Source organism: Homo sapiens, chromosome 5 (genome assembly GCF_000001405.40).
Source record: "Homo sapiens chromosome 5, GRCh38.p14 Primary Assembly".
Taxonomy (NCBI): domain Eukaryota; kingdom Metazoa; phylum Chordata; class Mammalia; order Primates; family Hominidae; genus Homo; species Homo sapiens.
Window position 1 is genome coordinate 21,969,684 of NC_000005.10, and position 19,496 is coordinate 21,989,179.

Sequence of the window (19,496 nt, forward strand, 5' to 3'; positions counted from 1 at the left end):
CATTCCTATGAGAAACTTAAGTATCTGCTGTTTTACACTGCTAAGGTTTTAGCTAATGTATTATGCCATAATAGATAAGTTATATACAACCTTTATCAAATAATAAAAGTAACCATCATCAGTAATGAGACAAATCAAAAACCATGGCCCACCCAATAGAACATAATGAGGAGAGTACAGAATTGGTTCTGGGATATTTCTGACAAAGATGTATATGCTTCATTCATACATGAGGAAACATCACACATACTCAAGATGGGAGAGCCATTCTAAAAAATAACTAGGCAGAAATCTTCAAAAATATTAAAGTCACGGAAACCAAGAAAAAATATGAACCTGTTTCAGATTAAAGGAAACTAAACAGACCTAACATTTTAATACAATGTTTGATTTTGAACTTGAACTTTTTGTTATATAAGACACTATTGAGACAAGTGCTAATGCTTGAATAGGGCTGAAGGATTAGATTATAATAATACATTAATGCAAATTTCCTGATTTTAAACATTGTAGTTTGATTGCACAAGGCGAATGTCTTTATGTGTGGAAAATAAATAGTCAACATTCTGTCTTCAAGCTTCTGAAAAAACTCTGCTTTTAGGGCATAGATAGAAGTGGATGATAATTCACCTGTTCCTCTGCTACTAATTGAGGGGCTCTCTGTTTCCATGGCTGGCTCAAGGGATAAGAGAATATATCTAGTTTTTTATGTTTCGATTTGTCTCTCTATGGCATTTTTGTGAAAATAAGGAAGTGTGGAGACTTATATATGTTTCTAAGTTATAATAGTTCATTAATGTAAAGTACAGACACAGTCTTCACTTTTCCTTCTTAGACCGTTTAAATATGGCCACGAAACAAGTAGTCTCTGGTTGGCTGGGCACTGTGGCTCATGTCCTTAACACCAGCACTTTGGGAGGCCGAGGCAGGCAAATCACTTGAGTTCAGGAGTTCGAGACCAGCCTGGCCAATGTGGCAAAACCCCATCTCTTCTAAAAATACAAGAATTAGCTGAGTGTGGTGGTGCACACCTGTAATCCCAGTTACTCGAGAAGCTGAGGCAGGAGAATCACTTGAACCTGGAAGGCAGAGGTTGCAGTGCGCCAAGACCATACCACTACACTCCGGCCTGGGCAATAGAGCAAGACTCTTTCTCAAAAAAAAAAAAAAAAAAAAAAAAAAAAAAAAAAAGAAAAAAGAAAATAGTCTCTGGTTAAATAACCTCTGAAAAACTCCACCAAAAATTTCATCTTAGCATTTCTCCCCAAACTTCATGTAAAATAAAATAGAGTTGAGAGAAAAAAAGAAAGGCAAGGGAGTACCTGTTCACTATTTTTATTAAACCAGTGTTCTACTTTATTTTAGGTGTATCTTTTCTTATTTAAATGTCAGCTAAACTTTCTTTTTAAGATATTGAATGAAAGATGCCCATCCTTCAGGTTTTGTTTAAGCAAGAATCCCCATTCTCAAATAATATAATATAAACTTTCCAAATTCTTAAGTAGATCATCTGAGATTGAAAGCTAAGTTTAACTTTCTCAAAGATATTTTAGCCGCATGACACCTAGACAAAATGGTATATTAAATTCTGACTAATTTGGTTCTAAAGCAACTAAGAATCATTCTTACTTTCTTATCCACAGGGGTTATTAAGTTTTCACATTAAAAAAAATCCAACAGTGAATAATACTGCATTGGGGTTACTGTAATTGTTAAGTAAAATAAGAAATACAAATCTTTAGTTAGATCACATGGCACCTGACTACTGCTTAGAAAATGGTAAGAATTACTACATAAATCATGAGTCACTATTGACATCTACTATATCATATCATAGGTTAGATATCTAATTATAAATAGTCAAATCAGCTGACTCAAGGTGGCATAGCTCAAGCAGGGGAAGATAATACAAGTTGAGTATGGATTTAACACTCTAAACCTGTCAGCATTGTAGGAAAAGTAACTTAAAACTGCACACCCCACTTATGCATAATCATCAGATATTAAAGAGGGTACATTCCTATAATTTATTGTTGCTCTAGTGATCTTAAAGAATTAAGTCCACATTCATAAAGTCCAAACTTGTCTCCAAGGATTTGCTTTGACTTTGGGAGTATCTGGATCATTAAGTAATTTCCGGAGGTCAGAGTAAAAGCTTTTTATCTCTAAATATTACTTCCCTGGAATATTAGATGTAACAGAAGTCAGTAACGGAGTGATCTTTCTCTTAAACAATTCATAGATTCACTGGAATTTTCTTCAACTTTAGGAAAATTAAATATATTCCACAGTGCTGTAAGTCTTAAATATTGATTTTCCTCTGAAATCTTGACTCATCCTACCCACCACCATTCTCCCTTTGTACAATATGTTCTTTGTAATGTTCACTTTACACAAGTGAAAATTAGTAATATTAGTAAATTTTCATTGCAGGTTTATTTGTTCATATTTCTGGATATATAATCCATTACTGTTAAACTTCATATCAATGTTCCGATATTTCTTCATCTTATGTTTTATGTTACAAAACAGGTTATTTCACTATATGTATTTTTAATTGATTAATTCTTCCCTTTTTTTGGAAATGAAACAGAAGCACTCTCAATTATTGGGACAGAAAAGTTATTTCATAGGGAATACTTCAAACACTGATATCTACAACAGGCAGTAAGATTCGTCACAACAATTGGTATACTGTCAATATACCATACAAAGTTCCATCTGGTCTTGATTAAAAATTATTTTAGTATTCTCAGGAAAATGATACAGAGGGAGAATTGCCTCGATTATATGAGAGAAAAAAAAGTATAGAAAAACATAATGTTTTCTTAGATTATTACAGCAGTGAACTATTTCCACCTGGTAAGAAGGGTGCACTTGAGAATGGGGTTCGAGTACTCTAGGAACATAGATGTAAGTTCTGGATGCACAGTAGTTGTTGCTTAGTTGTAAGTTGGAAATTTCAAGGCAGAAACAGCAGATACCACAACTATAATTGGGTCTCCTTGTTTTTTGTTTTATGTGTATATGTGAGATTATGGGGAAAGACAAAAGTAATGCATAGAGGTTTATTTTTTAACATTCAATTCATAAGCAGTGTTTATACCTCTTTGTACTTACTTGAAAAGTGTATATTATGTAAATTTAGTATAAAAACACTTGGACTAATTCATACCATGTGGTAAAATTTCACATTCAAAAGAAATACCCTTCTGTTATTAAAAATAAAAAAAAAGGAGCCAGGAGGGTGGCTCATGACTGTAATCCCAGTGCTCTGGGAAGCCAAGGTGGAGGGATCATTTGAGGCCAGGACTACTTGAGAACAGCCTGGGCAACATAGCTAGATCCCTTCTCTACAAAAAGTAAAAAAAAAAAAAAAAAAATAGCTAGGCAGAGTGGCACATGACTGGCTATTAAGGAGGCTCAGGTGGAGGGATCTCTTCAGCCCAGGAATTTAAGGCTTCAGTGAGCTAAGACTGGGCCATTGCACTCCAGCCAGGGCAACAGACCAAGACCCAGTCTCAAAATAAATAAATAAAAATGAAAGAAAGCAGTGCACTGAAAATCAATTTAAGTATTTACTGGAGTTGTCTTGAAGGCCCAATGGGAAATTTCAGTAAGGGCACATGAGAAAACACTTTAAGAACCTATTCTTCCAAAGATCTTTCCAGTATCTTATGACAACACAGTAAATTATATCCCACTCCAACTGCAAAAGCTGAAACTACTCTGCTTTCTCACTTACCTACACTTTTGACTTTCCAAATATATTTCTCTCTTTGGATATGATCTGCAAACTCCTTACACGAAGGCTCCAACTCTGCAGCCCTAGTTATTATAGTTGGCACAAGAAAAATCCTAATTGTTTTATCCAAGGAGACGGAATTTTCCAATACTGTAGAGGCATGTGTGTGTGTTTGCTTTAAGGAAGCTGTTTTGGTACTAAAAAGTCACTGAGGGTCATAAATTCATGTTAACACATCCAGTGTACATGAAGTAGGCACCGAGTTAAACTATTTGTCTACTATATAGCATGTCATCTTAAAAGCCTTATTTTTTCCTCAAAATATTAACTTTATTTTTCTCCCTGTAAAATCAAGACACCGTTAAAATGTAGCCTCCCTCATTTTCTGGGAATACTTTCTAACAAGATATGCTTCTTTCCAATTGGACTTCTAAATTTCTAGCAATAATAACAGTGCATAAAACAGGCAACCCCAAAAGTGTAGCAGGTACTGAATAACAGATTTGCAGCCTTGGGTATCCACATTAAAATTTGAAATCTAAGTGAATTACTTCAAGCTGATTTCTTAGGTCAAGGAGAGATTATGGTCCTTAAATGCCTGATAAGGTCACATACACAATTTCAAGTGCATTATAGTAAATCCATGTGACAGCTCCTACAGCTACTAACCTGCTTCTGCCCTCAGGGTAGCGTGCACAATCTTCATCACAAGTCCTGGGTGGTGGTAGGAGCAGTAGAAACCCCCTGGGTCATGTCAGATTTAGAAAATATAAGCAATGGCTCATACACGAATTTTAAGTTGTAACCTACATGTGATAAGTTGCTTTATCTTCCAAATGTAATAAAAACCAGAAGTTACTTTGAAATAAATTGAAGGATTAGCAGTGGTGACTGAGGAATAAAAATTATAATTTAAAATTGTCCTTAAAGCTGGAATTCTTAACTTACTGACCTTATATCCTACATATTATAGGACTTTGTAAATTTAGGCTGATATGGAAATGTATATTTATATCAAATTTAAATTTTTAGAATGATGGTGCTACTATATTCTAATTGTTAATTTGATAATTGTAATTGTAATTTGTTAATTTGTTCTAATAATGTTTTCATGACATTATTCATTTGCTGCTTGGCTTGATGGCACAACAAGTATGGGTTATTTACCCTGAAAAGGAAACAGTATTACCCTTCCAGAATCTCTATTTACAGCTACAAAAGATGCATCACACCTGTTTCCGGACCACTTCCAGATCAGATGTGACACATGCTTTAGATAATTTACTTTGATCTAGGAATTACTGTCTGGCATTTTGTGGTGTAGGGTAGGTGTCTCCAGCACTATATAGGTGTCTGGAATTGAGATAACAATCAATTTCAATACAAAATACATTTTTTGCTTAAAGCATGCAAGGATTCTATGAATTCAGGTAAATTCACAGGGTGGAAAACAGGAACTAATGTTATATATTCCTGTACTTATCTTCATAATGAAGCAGAAAGAAAAACAAAAAAGTTACAAAAATAAATGAAAAGAACTGTATTTTCTAGAATTGAAAAATATTCTTTTAGATGATAGATAAGATGTTTACATCAACCTGCAAAAAGTCAATGTTGAAGAGGTCTCATTGTATCTCACAGAATTTTGATTTGCCTACTCACCCACAGGAGACATTTCTGGAACAGTAGCAACATAAGGTCCATCCAAAAACTTTGGCTCATTATCATTAATATCCTGCACTTTGATGATGAATTCTGATTCAGGCTCCAGGGGCTTTCTGGTTTCTATGTCCACAGCCTGAGCACGAAGAGTGTAGAAAGGTTTCTCTTCTCTATCTAGGCTCCTTATTGCATGAATGTCCCCTGTGGTTTCATCAATGGTAAAAACGGTGCCAGCGCCATCTCCTGAGAGGGTGTATTTCACAGTGCCCTCTCCCTTGTCTAAGTCGGAATGGAGCTTTAGGGAAGAGAAGGAGAGAGAGAGGAAGAGAAAGAGAAGGACAAAGAAAGAACACCATTAAAAGGATGTGCCAAATTAAAAAGTCATAATTTGCAATACAATTCCTTTAATCAAAAATGTTAAATAAAAATCTTATGGTTCTGTTTTCTCGTTTTTTATTTCTCCAACTTCTTTTTATAAAAATTTCAACACAAAAAGTTGAAAACTGTGCGATGAACGCATATATACCTATACATCCAAACATTCCTCCATTCGTCTATTAATCTGCTTGCCTTATCAGATAGATCTCATATCTATTCTTCTGTTCATCCTTCTCTTAACCCATTTTTTTTTGAGGTGTTACGAAGATCAGAACAAAAGTACAACCTCAGATATAGCAACAGGCAAAAAAACCAACAAATTTTGAAAATTTGTATTTAGTTCTTCTGTATCCCTTTGGGATAACATTTTCATAAAATGAAATGCACAAAACTTCAGTGTACTTATTGTTTCATTTTAAATAAACATTGCAATAAAAATAAATTAGCTCATAAACACCACAAAATAAACTTTCCAAGTGTTCTGAAGATGAAATCAATGACCTGAATCCAGTGGGAGATAGTGCAAAGGAACTCAGAAAACACTAAGCATTTTCATTTGTAAAGAAGGGAAAAATCTGGCAAATCAAGAGGTTTTCAGTGATATAGGGCAGAGCATCTCATTTTAACAGGCTGAGTTTGAATGAGTTTACCACTATGATTGGTAGAATCACTGATTATCCTTTCAGATTCACAAATAGCTTGTTCCAATTCATTCTATATATAGAATATTTATGTTGAGTAATATGGGAAAGCATTGAAATTCTACTAATTTATTTTAAAATTCAACACATGTATGGTACATTATGTTATAGTATGGAATAAGATACACATGAATAAGCGATAAGGAAGAGAACTAAAGAGTAGAGAGAATTATCAGTGTAATGCCGTAAGGCAGTGTTGTTCAAACTGGAGACCAAGAATAAATGAAAAATGGACACAGTCTTAAACGTATATAAATTACGTGTAAATAAATAAATATATACATAAAATATTACATAAAATAAAATAGTGCATCATATATAATTTTCTAGTAGTATATATTTGTATAAATATATTCTTATACATAATTATATATACATATATACATAACATAGTCTTATAAATAATATTTACATTAATTTTTATGCAGATGTTGATTTAAATGTTTTAAACTATTCTTGCTCATTTGGGTATAGCCATTTGATTTCAGTATCCAAATTTTTACATGTAACAGCTTTTTCCAGACAACAGATCACCCAAAAGAAAAATAAACTTTTGCAGCATTTCTAACCATTTGGGCTATGCCTTAAAAATCTGCATATGAGCACTGCTCTTTGCAAATCATTGCTTAAGAATGAGTTCTGTTTTCTTAACATTTCAACACACACACAAAAACTCTGAAAATATTTTAAATTATATAAATATCCTGTTGCAAATAAGCTTCCTGTGTATTAGTATGAGTAATTAAAAGCACAAATATAGCCCAAATAAATACAAGTTCAACTGTAGCTACATCTTTGCTCTTAAGCTCAAGAGCGTGCTTTAAGTTCAATAAAATAATATCATTGTTCATATTAATGTTATTAAGGTAAACTTATTCATTTTGTGACCCTGCATTTCCTTCAATATTTGTTCTAAAAGTGTTTTGTATGAGAGTATAAGCAAAACCATAAAAACCTGGTTGGGTAATATAATAAAAATAATGTGGCAACAATAAGAGGGAACAAGATTTTGATGTTTCTTTAAAAGTTTCTGTATATTTTACTTAAGTATAAAGAAAATTGTTATGAATGATAGGAGGAAGGATTTTTGTCCACCTATTAAAAAAAACTGCTGTGAAGCATAGGAAGTTTCAAGCATAAAATCAAGCAGTAGATAAATGTTCTTTGAACTTATGAATTTCAAATTATAAATTTCAACCATGCTATTAAAGATATTCAACACAGTGGGTATTCCTTTTGCTTTCAAATTTATCTAAATATATGAGACAGGCAAAAGCTCAATGCAAAAGGCATGACTTTATAAAATGGATCCATTTTGCCAACAGCTCAAAGAATATATGGTAATATTGTGGGAACTGAGTGAAAATTCAGAGTAGGTTTTGAAATGTGATACAAGTAGAATTTTAAAAAGAAAAAAGAAAAACAAAACAAAAATTTCTGTATTTAGCTAAAATCATAACTGTTTCCTTTGCAAACTGACATAAAAATGAAGAAGCAAAATGTGTCTTTAGTTATATCCAAGTTCCAAATTCAAGTTAATTACTGCTGCTCCTCACTCTTCTACCTTTTCCTTCAAATTTAAAGATGGGCTTTGCAGAGATTAAAGCTTCAGAAAAAAATATGGGAAAATACGTTAAAAGGTTGACCTGTAAATGAAGTGGATGACTATAAAACTCGTGAGAGAATTAGACTTTTTGTAGCAGTTTATTACATGATAATACCTTAAAGGAGATCACATTCAGTGATCTGCGTTGACAGGTAATATTTAAAATTAAGTGTTAATGCTGATTAATTAGGCAGATGGGTGGTAGCCTAAAGTATAGACATTTTTCCAATATTAATTTTGATATTAAATAAATGACATTGGCTCTTGTTGGATATTATAAAATTTCCTTTACTTCAACTGTAAAATAATTTCAACAGTGAAAGGTATAAAGTAAGATGAAAATTTCCATCATGATCTTACCTAGAGATAACTTCTCTTTTTTTGAGTCGGAGTATCGCTCTCGTTGCCCAGGCTGGAGTGCAGTGGCGTGATCTCGGCTCACTGCAACCTCCACCTCTCGGGTTCAAGCAATTCTCCTGCCTCAGCCTCCAGAGTAGCTGGAACTACAAGGCGCATGCCACCATGCCAGGCTAATTTTTGTAGTTTTGATAGAGACAGGGTTTCACCATATTGGTCAGGCTGGTCTCAAACTCCTTACCTCAAATAATCCGCCCGCCTCAGCCTCCCAAAGGGCTGGGATTATCGGCATGAGCCACTGCGCCCTGCCCTTCTTTGTTATTTTTATATGTTTCAGTTATGTAAATATATAACTGAAAGGGTAAATATATATAAATACATATTTACTGCACATTTATATTGATGTATATTTCTCTGCTTGTATCTATCTATATATATACACACTATATAAATAAATGAGTCAAGATTTTTAAAACAAAATACCATAATTATTTTTCAGTATCATTTGAAATTTTTCAAAATTACTTTTTTAAATTTCTGCATATTCATTCAGTGAAGTTGAATGATCCAATGGGCACTCTGTATTCCTTCATAAACTGTGTGGTGAATGTGCGTGTGTGTATGTATGTATACGCACGTGTTTATGTGTTTTCTGGGGTTTATTTCCTTAAAATAAAAAGGCAACTGTCAAGACTAAAGCTATAATAATTTTTATGAATCTTAGAAAATGTTGAATTTTTAGTGATTCCGGAAATTGATCTCTATCGATGAAACTGCTTTCTCAAATATGTCAGCAATGGGATTCAGGCTTTGCTTACAATGTGAAGGAAGTTCTTAGCCTCATTTGCACAAAGAAGGAAGGAGGGCTACAGATAAAAAGAACTCATAGTCTTTTCCATATTTTTGGGTCATGTTCACTGTAAAAAAAATCACATGATGCCATTTTTACACAGCCTTTTTAATCTACACATACGGCAAGCTAATAATTCCACAAAAATAATTTCTTTCCTTTGTAGCCATTTAAAACTAACAGCTAGAAATATTTCTTCTTCCAATTATTAAAAATAAGCTGTTTCTGAGTCGGTGCTGACTACATTTACTGATTGAAGCAGCCAACTCCAAATATATCATCTTTTAGTATTGACACTTAAAATAAAATTTCTCCCCAGAAAAAGAGTTCTATAAATGATGGCTGTAGAAATAGGCACTGTCCAGGCAGTTGTTTTGTGGAAGTAGTGTTGTTATTTTCTGGTGTTTTCCAAGTCATCTCAGATGGTGCGTGAAAATGAGATGCCAAAGAAGGCTTAAAAAAGATACCCTGCTCCAGCTTCAGAATGTAAGCAAATCTTTCATTCCAGCGCTTAAAAGTTTTGAGAAAGCTAATCTAAAGTTAAATGTTTACTAGCATCTCTCTGATTATATTTTAGAAACTACTGCACAAAAATAAAACAAATTTCTTATTTTCTCTGGGTTGAAAAGTGCACATAAAATGGAAAATGCTTTTTATACCACTATTTCCAGCAGGGATTTTATTTTCATTTGTCATTTGCCAGCCTGGGGTATGTTGGGAGAAGGAACAATTGATTTTTGAAAAGGTGGATTTGTGTGAAAACCAAAAGTTGCGTTCAACAAATACTACTACTAACCCACATGTGGATATATGTGTTTTTTACATGAGTAAAAAAAAAAAAATGGTATTTCTAGTTCTAGATCCCTGAGGAATCGCCACACTGACTTCCACAATGGTTGAACTAGTTTACAGTCCCACCAACAGTGTAAAAGTGTTCCTATTTCTCCACATCCTCTCCAGCACCTGTTGTTTCCTGACTTTTTAATGATTGCCATTCTAACTGGTGTGAGATGGTATCTCATAGTGGTTTTGATTTGCATTTCTCTGATGGCCAGTGATGATGAGCATTTTTTCATGTATTTTTTGGCTGCATAAATGTCTTCTTTTGAGAAGTGTCTGTTCATGTCCTTCGCCCACTTCATGTACCCTAAAACTTAAAGTATAATAAAAAAAAAAAACATACATACATATATGTATGGCATATATATATATATATGCTATAGAAATGCCATCAAGTTACCAGTTTACTTCTAAATGTAACTGCTTAATATAAAATATGCATCTTTTTGTAGTACCTAATTCTTGCAATTCAGTATATTTCCTGGCGAGAGGTAGAGATGAACAACCCTGGACAGTTACCACATATGGCTCTTATGGAGGTAATGAGGATGGTTGTGATGAGAAGGGTAAAAAATAAAAAAGTTATTACAAAACATTTTTTAAGGAATTTTCCAAAAAATGATTTTAATATTCTCTTTGCTTATGGAATGATATTTAAAACCATGATTTCTGTGTCCTTTAAAATGACTTCTGATTTGTGAATTGTTCTCTGTGCTCCAAACTTCTTTTATTTGTCCCTGTGTTTATGCTCATAACCATTCATTTCCCTCTTTTCCCACTGACTTAGCCTCTGGGGTTGTAATGAACTTACTCGTTTATTTTTGTGTATGTGTGGGGTTTTGTCTTTTGTTTTCTGAGAATAAAGTATATGAGATCTTGGAAAAAAATCAGAAAACGGGGAAAATCATAAATTCATTACCAAAATAATTTCTGATTTGGTATTATAGCTCTGCAAATTACTTCACTAATTGTGTTCATAGGTACTATGGTACACTGTACACTGTTTTGTAACTTGCTTTTTAGATGGATTATATCATATTTTTCTGTATCAATAAATATGAATTTATTACATCAGTTTAAACTGATCAAAAACATTTTAATCAAAGTAATACAATTAAATTGCTAAATATCATAGGGAATCGAAGAGTTTATAATCCTAAACCATACTCTTTCTTTTCCTAGCCAGCTGGGGACATTTTTAATTGTTTCTATTTTCATTCTTTCTGTTTCAGTTCTTATAAAAATACATATATAAAATTGGCTAAATGATTAAATGTTATAGTAGTTCTTTAATTATAAATTCGAATAATATTTGTTGACTTCCAAACTGCATACCCCTTGCCTTGTCCAAGTAAAACTGTACCACTGTTTATTCTCTGTGTTGTCAATAAAACACTACGTGATATCTGAGTGTCTTTGTTTCTAAATTTCAGTTCACTCAGAATGTATCCTTTTCTTCTTGCCTCCAATATTTTATTATGAAATTTTCAAATTCATAATAAAAGTATATAGTATTCATCTGTATACTTACCTCCTAGTCTATATATTTTTTACATACTGTTTATAATTGTTTTATTATTTTCTACCCATTTGTCTATCTGTTAACCCAGCTTAATTTTTGATGCATTTAAAAGTAGGTTGTAGATACAAATAACCATCACCCTAACACCCTTCAATACAATGTTTACAGTTGTTTTTTTGACATTGGAATGTATCTGTGGTTTCTCTATTTCATAGGATCATAGCATTAACACCTTTACGCTTCCCCTTACATCTCCTTCCGTTTCTTCTCCCCGTCCCCCACCAGCTTCCATCATCTGTATTATACAGAATCTGTCCTAAAAAATTCTGAAGTAGGCCTTAGGTATTTTTTGTTTTTTAAAGGGTCTTGTTCTGTGGCCCAAGCTACAGTGCAGTGGCACAATCTCAGCTCACTGCAGCCCCTGCCTCCTGGGCTCAAGTGATCCTCCTGAATAGCAGGGATTACAGGCACAGACTACCATGCTTAGCTAATTTTTCTATTTTTTTATTTGTAGAGATGAGGTTTCATCATACTACCCAGGCTGGTCTCAAACTTCTGGGCTCAAGCAATCTACCTGCCTATGCCTCTGAATGTGCTGGGATTACAGGTGTGAGACACCCTGTGTGGCCAGGCCTCTTTTTAAAAATAAGCCTGATAGTTAATTTTATATGTCAACTTGACTGAGCCATAAATTGCCCAGAGATTTGGTCAAGCATTATCCTGGGTGTGCCTCTGTGGGTGTTTCTGAATGAGATTAGTATTTAAATCGGTAGGCTGAATAAAATAGATTGCCTTCCCTAATGTGGATGGGCCTCATTCAATAGCTGTGGGAATGAATAGATCAAAAAGCCAAACCCCTCCGTGAGTGACAGAGATCTCTTCCTGCCTGACTGCCTTCAAGCTGAGACACTGGAATTTTTTTTCTGCCTTTTGACTTCAATTAAAACATTGGCTTTTCCTGGGTCTTGAGCCTGCCCGTCTTTAGACTAGAACTAGAAGCTATCCTGGGTCTACAGTTTGCCAACTGCATACCTTTGGACTAGTCAGCCTTTATAATTGTGTGAGCCAATTCCTTATAACAAATCTTTATATATCGATATATAGAGATATATATTGATATATATATACCTATATAGAGAGATATATCTATATAGATATCTATACCTATATAGAGAGATACATCTATATCCATATATAGAGATCCATATATATCCTCTATATATGGATACATCTATATATAGAGAGATCTCTCTAAATATCTCTATATCTATAATCTATATATCTATAACTATATCTACATCTACATCTATAGCTATATCAACATCTAATTTGTTCTTTTTCTTTGAGAACACCTACTGATAAATAAGCCTTCTAAGTTTTGTCTATCAGTTGATGCTAAAACATTAAAAAAAGGAGAACAACTAATACTCTTTTTACACTAATTAGAACAATGTAAACCTTTTTGTTTTATTACCAAATAATTTGTATTTCCTATGTAATTGCTGTAGTTTTATTTTGCATATGGATTTTTTTTCCGTAACATCTTTGTCTGTTAGTGGTTTTATTTATGTATTTTTTTAATATCCTTAGATTCATCCCACTTCTGAGGTCTGACATCAAATCTTTTCACTACATGCCTCTCTTTGGGAGGCTTCTTTCTTGCTAATCCAAACAAGAACATCTGCACAATTGTCAACCTGGAATTTACTTTATTAATCTCCTGGTTTGGAAACACTTTTTCTTGGATGTTATATTTACTTTGGTTTACTATTTTGTTGTCTTGCACTAATTTTATATGATTTCTTAATAATGAGTGTATGTTAGACATTTTACTTGAGTCTTTTCATATCACAGTATACCTTTATTTTACCCTCATATATAATTAATTTTCATGTGGGCATATATTTCCAGATTGGAAATCATTTCTCTTCATACATTTTAAGGAATTTATACATTTGCATCTGAAATTGTATTCATTATCTTCTAGAAACCAAGAGTGGACTTGGTATCCATCTGATTATATTTTCTTTGTTGGTAAAGAGCCTCTTTTTTCCCTTTTTATTTTCATCTTCTCTTTCTCCAGTGTTTATAGTCTTATTTTTATGAATGTAGTCTAATTATTTAGAACACTGTCTCCGAGTATGTGTTTATTTGGGTTTGTGTTTTGAACATTGCCTCCAGGTGCGAGTTTATGTGTGTTTATGTTTCCTATTTGAGATTGGACACTTAGTAAATTTTCTCAATTCGAAAACTATTTTCCTTCAGCACTCAGAAATTTTTATCAATGATTATTTCCACGATTATTTCCTGTCCTTGGTTTTTTGTGTTCTTAACCTAGAATTCAATTGTTTAATGTTAGACCTTACACATCTTCAATGTATCATATATATTTCACTCATATTATTTATTGTCATATCTTTTGGACTATTGTGTGAAAGCAATAAATTTATATTACTTTATTTATTGGTAATGCTCTTCATTTTCAAATTTAATACACACAAATTGTGCATACCTACACACATATACCGCAGATACATTCATTTTCAGGATTTCTTTAAGTGTTCTTTTAAAAATAATCATATTCTTATTTTGTGAACTGTGGGATTTCTTGAAACTTTTTGAAAACTCTAATTAGTCTGTGTTTGTGTGGTTTCTTTAAATTATCTCTTCCTTCAGGATTACTTTTGTGTTTGGAATTTGAGTCTTCGCCATTCATAAGGCGAGCTTTTCTTGAATACCTGATAACTCTGAGTTTCCTGTTCATATTTAAGAATAAATAACCTAATTTGAAGTTTTGAGTTTTTGAGTTGTATTTATTGATCAGAGTTTTGGCCTAGAATGAATAAAAGAATCAATCATTTCTTCTACTTTCAGATATTCGGTTGGGGGTGTTCTAAGCACAATGGTGTCCCAACACTGTCCTAATTCTTTGCAGGTTACCTACAGAATAACGTCTTTTAAAATTATTTCTTTATTGTTTACATTCTGGTCATTAATGCCTATATTTTATGCATTCTCAAGCATATGGGAGAAATTCTGTATATAGAATATTAGTTCATCTCTGTGTTTTTCCTGGCAAATTTTATGCCTTTTCTTTGGAATCACTGCCAAATCTGGGTCTCTTTCAGAGCTGTGCCTTCATTGCTGGAGCCCTCTCAGTGTAAACACTCGCATGTAGCTCCTTTGGGCTTGTTTAAACAGTCACCAATCTTTCACCTATGTGCAATGTTACAGAAATTGGCCATCTTCTCTGATGACCTCTATGCCACTCCCTCCCATCAGAATTACGGGTTGTTATTTTTGTTCCTCTGTTATAAATTACTGATGCTTTCCGAAGAGGAGTTAAAGGTGTTTGGGAGGTACACCATTTCCCTGTACCAAAATCATATTAAGTAAAACTTGCAATCAACAGAAAAAATAGAAGTAATTATATGATGAAAATCTATATTCTCAAAATCTAGATTAAACCATTCTCAACATTTTGTTGTATTTGCTTTACTTTCATATATGGATGATTTGCAAATAATTTACAAACATCATACCAATTCACTACACAATATTTCAGCACCAGTTTTCTGAAAATAAGACCTTTTCCTGCATAACCACATTGTCACAGTTTCAGTTAAGAAAATTAATTAAAATGCCTGTTATCACTTAATAATGGGTCATATTCAATACCCCCACTTCTCTCTCCAAATATCTTTGTAGCATTTTCTTTCTTTGTTTTCTGAACACGAAGCCCCATAAGTTTCAAGCATTGCATTTGGATTAGTGTCTTTACTTTCCTTAATATAGATGGATCACATATTTAAATATTAACAATTTATTTGTCATTATCTTTTGTCATGGAACTAGGTCCCCATTTTGAATTTTTCTGCTGGAATGAGAAACTTCCAGACATGTGGTCTAAATCTTTATTGTTCTATCTGTTTTACTATCGCTCTTCTTCAGTCTCAAAACATATATGGACAAAAGCAATCACATAAAGGTCTGTCCTACTTAATACGGACATCTTTATAAAAGCAGTTACAGAATCTTCTGATAGATCTATACACACATTCAGATGTAAGGGATATGTTTCTTGTACAGGATACTCTCAGTACATTTTGTTATAATAATCACATATAAGTGGTAAGACCCATTACCATTCTTGAAATCTATGATTATAAGTGATGTAGAATGGTTTAGTAGTTAGTGATTGAGATTTAAAGTAATATTGTCACTGATTTGTTTACTTACACACAGGGTTTACTCATTTAAACCAGTCAATATGAGTATAAGAAAATTTTGCGTGAGTTTCTTTGTCTGAAATAATTTTATTATGTACAACACAAACTACTTTTGCTAGATTCTTCCTGGTAAACTTATAAAACACTTAGTGTTTCCTTTTTTGAAGTTGCCTAGTTTCAAGCTAATACTTATTCTGAGCTCAAGAACATCATAGTGGCCATTATATTCACTACAAAGCCATTAGATTATACTTAAGGTATTTATAGATGAAAGAAGATCAGACCCAAAGATGATCTATAACTCTGCCTGAGTAATGTTATGCAAATTGTTCTCTTTTCAAAGCCACCGAATGCCCAAGAATATTTAACATTCTATGCTAGTCTACTCTCCTGAGGTGACTCATTTGTTCTCCCTAGTTTAATTGTTGCTATATGAGCAAGAGGGATACCACTTTACAAGGTTAGGAATTCCCTCTAACAGCCCAATGTGCTTTGAGAACTCCCCTGCCTGAGTAACAGACCCAGAGCTATTTATCATCTGGAAATATTTCACCTTCTATTGAAGAGAGCAGAAATCCATCTCAAAAAGGCCCCCATGCATCCCCAGTGTATGCCAAAGAAGCTCACAGAAGAAAAAAGAATATTTGCAATGCTCAAGAGCAAAAAAGCTTATGTGCTAGGATATATTACACATCCTGTTATAGAAAAAAAATATGTTATTCCCCCAATGCTGTCTTTTATCTTTCTTACTTTGCTTGAATATTGCCTTCATGGCTACATATAAAAGCCATCCTATTTCCTCAGATTGTCATATTTTGCAACTTTAGCTCACTCCAATTATAATCTCTCATTTCAAAGTGTCACAATATGTGAATAAGAACTTCTATAAAAGTTGGAGAGGTCACTGGCTTGGACCCAGGATTTGGGAAGAAAAATATGAGAGAAGGTTAAAATAACTTCTTTCCTACTTTTCCAACATTGTAAAACATATTTCACAAGCTGGGTTTTAGGGAAAAAATTTCCAGACAATAAACCATTCATATCAAATTTTCAGTAATGGAATCTCTATTTTGAATAACAGTAAATTTGATGTATCATTTCAAACAATGTAGTTATTTTTCAGAATACTATATAAATGTATACGATTTAGTCTAGATTTAAAAATAAATGCCAATAATCAGCTATTAATAACAATACATTACTATAGTTACATATCATTTCTTAATTTATTGTTAGCATTTCATTATTTCCAATATTAGCTCTTATCGAATATTATATACTATGTTAAATGCCTTATAAGTTTTATTTAATTTTGACTAACCACTGATATGCTATCATGAAAAATCTAGTAATAAAATCTTTTTAACTGAGTTCAAATAGTCCCAAGTGCAAAATATAATTTTAAAAACTATATGTCCTACACTAATTTATTTGCATATGCACTTAATAATCCCAATAAAGCAGCTGAACCCAAATCTGAACTCGAATGTAAAACTCCATCTAACCTAATTTCTTTCTGTTAGTCTTTATTATCATAGTCACTTCTATTTATGTTTTATTTTCTCCTTTATTTTTTTATTTTAAATACCCTTTTGTTTAATGGTATAAAATGTCTGGCTACATAAAATCAAATCAATTACGATAAGATAAATATAAGTACGATTTCAAAAAGAAAAGCTAAATCTAGCTAAAAATTCTAATTTTTAATACATGCAAAGTATACATGATGTATTAGTAAAATGTAATACATTGGGAGTAAAACTTTAAAAATATTTGATATATTCACATTTCTTATTTGCAGTATAGACAAAATGACCTATGAATCAAGCATTTTGTTCCACAGTCTCTATTGTTAGCTGTATGTCTCAGAAACAGCTTCTTTCTCAAGAGAGAACAAGAGGGATAATGCTGGATCTAAAGGCATCATCTGAAAAAGACAAAGATATCAACAATTGCAACTATTTGGCTTTCTGTCCATCACTGAGACTTTTCATAATCTTTCCTTCATAAATAGGATCTCTTGATCAGAACAGAAAAGTTGAGTCTTAAATTTCCTGTATTTATTTCTGACTGATACTGAGGGAAGTGCAAATTTGGTTGCTATGATTAAACTCCTTGATTGTTCTTAATGGGACTATTTTAATAAGTCAAACATTTTTGCCATCTAAGTATATTGATGAGCGCCACGTTATCTCAAATGTTTACACATACTAGGGAAAAGCATCTGCAGTTTCTGAACTCTTTGTGAATCAGTATCACTTTTTCATGTTACTTCAGAGATCAATATTCAGTGCATTGGTTTTATTTACCATCTTTTCTCCCAGTTGATCTTGTAATCATCAGAAAGGGAAAAAAAATCTCCTTCACAAAGCCCTTTGCGACAAACTTACGTAAATAATAATCTAAGGACAGCTAGAAAAAAAATACACCATACAGGGGAATAGATCCAAAATTGATATCTGCCTCACCTGTATCACCTATTGTATTAGTAACTGCAAAGGTAAATAAATAGCAGAGACTAGAATGTTTCCAAACGTAGTAGTGAAAACTACTCCCCTCCTCCCCCCATATAACACTACAACAGGTTACTTTGGTTACAGGATATGACAATAGCTCTGCAATATCAGAAAAATGCCTGCCTGGCGTTGCGGCTCATGTCTGTAATCTCAGCACTTTGGGAGGCTGAGGTGGGCGGATCACTTGAGGTCAGGAGTTGGAGACCAACCTGGCCAACATGATGAAAACCTCTCTCTACTAAAAATACAAAAATTAGCCAGGTGTGGTGACGGACGCCTGTAGTCCCAGCTACTCGGGAGGCTGAGGCAGGAGAATGGCGTGAACCCAGGAGGCGGAGGTTGCAGTGAGCCAAGATCATTGCACTGCACTCCAGCCTGGGCGACAGAGCGAGACTCCGTCTCAAAAAAAAAAAAAAAAAAAAAAAAAAAAAATGCCTACAGTAGATTAGAAATAAGGAAAAATTGCTTGAATTCCTAATTTTCAGGGTATAAGAAGAAATCTAGGATATCCATGGACATTCCCAGAAACATCAAGGTTTGCTAAAAACAGAAAATTGGAAGTAGAACAAAAAAAGCGGTGGGAAAAGCACGTAAGACATTGAGGCAAGCCATGAGGAGTTTGTCAGTCTAAAGGTTGAATAGAGGACCTTTAAGAAGAGGGAGACAAACATTAAATTTTCAACTTTCTGTAGTTTGATATAATACTTTCCACGTTCTAGGGTTTCATTAAAACTTCACAAGCTTTTGGATTTTTTAACAAATATTAGGGCTGTGCTTCATGCTTGGGTTAATATGGGGTGAATAGAAGGAACAGCTGGGGAAGAAGAGATAAGAGACAGATTCTCTAGTAGAAATTAGGAGAAACGTAAGAATCCTATACATCTGCGTATATTTGAGGAGTCTTTAGAGTTCACTAAAGTTCATGGATTGGACGTTATAGCCATTTTAATGTATTTTCATTGTGACAGGATTGACTTTAGAAGGCTTAAGAATTTTGATGAAGAAAAAAGGGGAAAAAGAAGGCATAATAGAGAGAAAGGAAGGAAAAAAGAAAAGACAAAAGTGTAGTCACAAGATTGTCAACAATAAG

At 33.3% G+C, this 19,496-nt stretch overlaps 1 protein-coding gene across 9 annotated transcripts in view; it reads right to left on the reverse strand.

Annotated features, from left to right (window-relative positions):
- Nucleotides 1-19,496, reverse strand: part of CDH12 (cadherin 12) — a 1,102,672-nt gene that overhangs the window by 219,011 nt on the left and 864,165 nt on the right. For all 9 annotated transcript variants that reach the window (NM_001364104.2, NM_004061.5, NM_001364106.2 and 6 more), the window contains 1 exon segment: nt 5,408-5,702. In NM_001364104.2, coding sequence (NP_001351033.1) covers nt 5,408-5,702 — 295 coding nt within the window.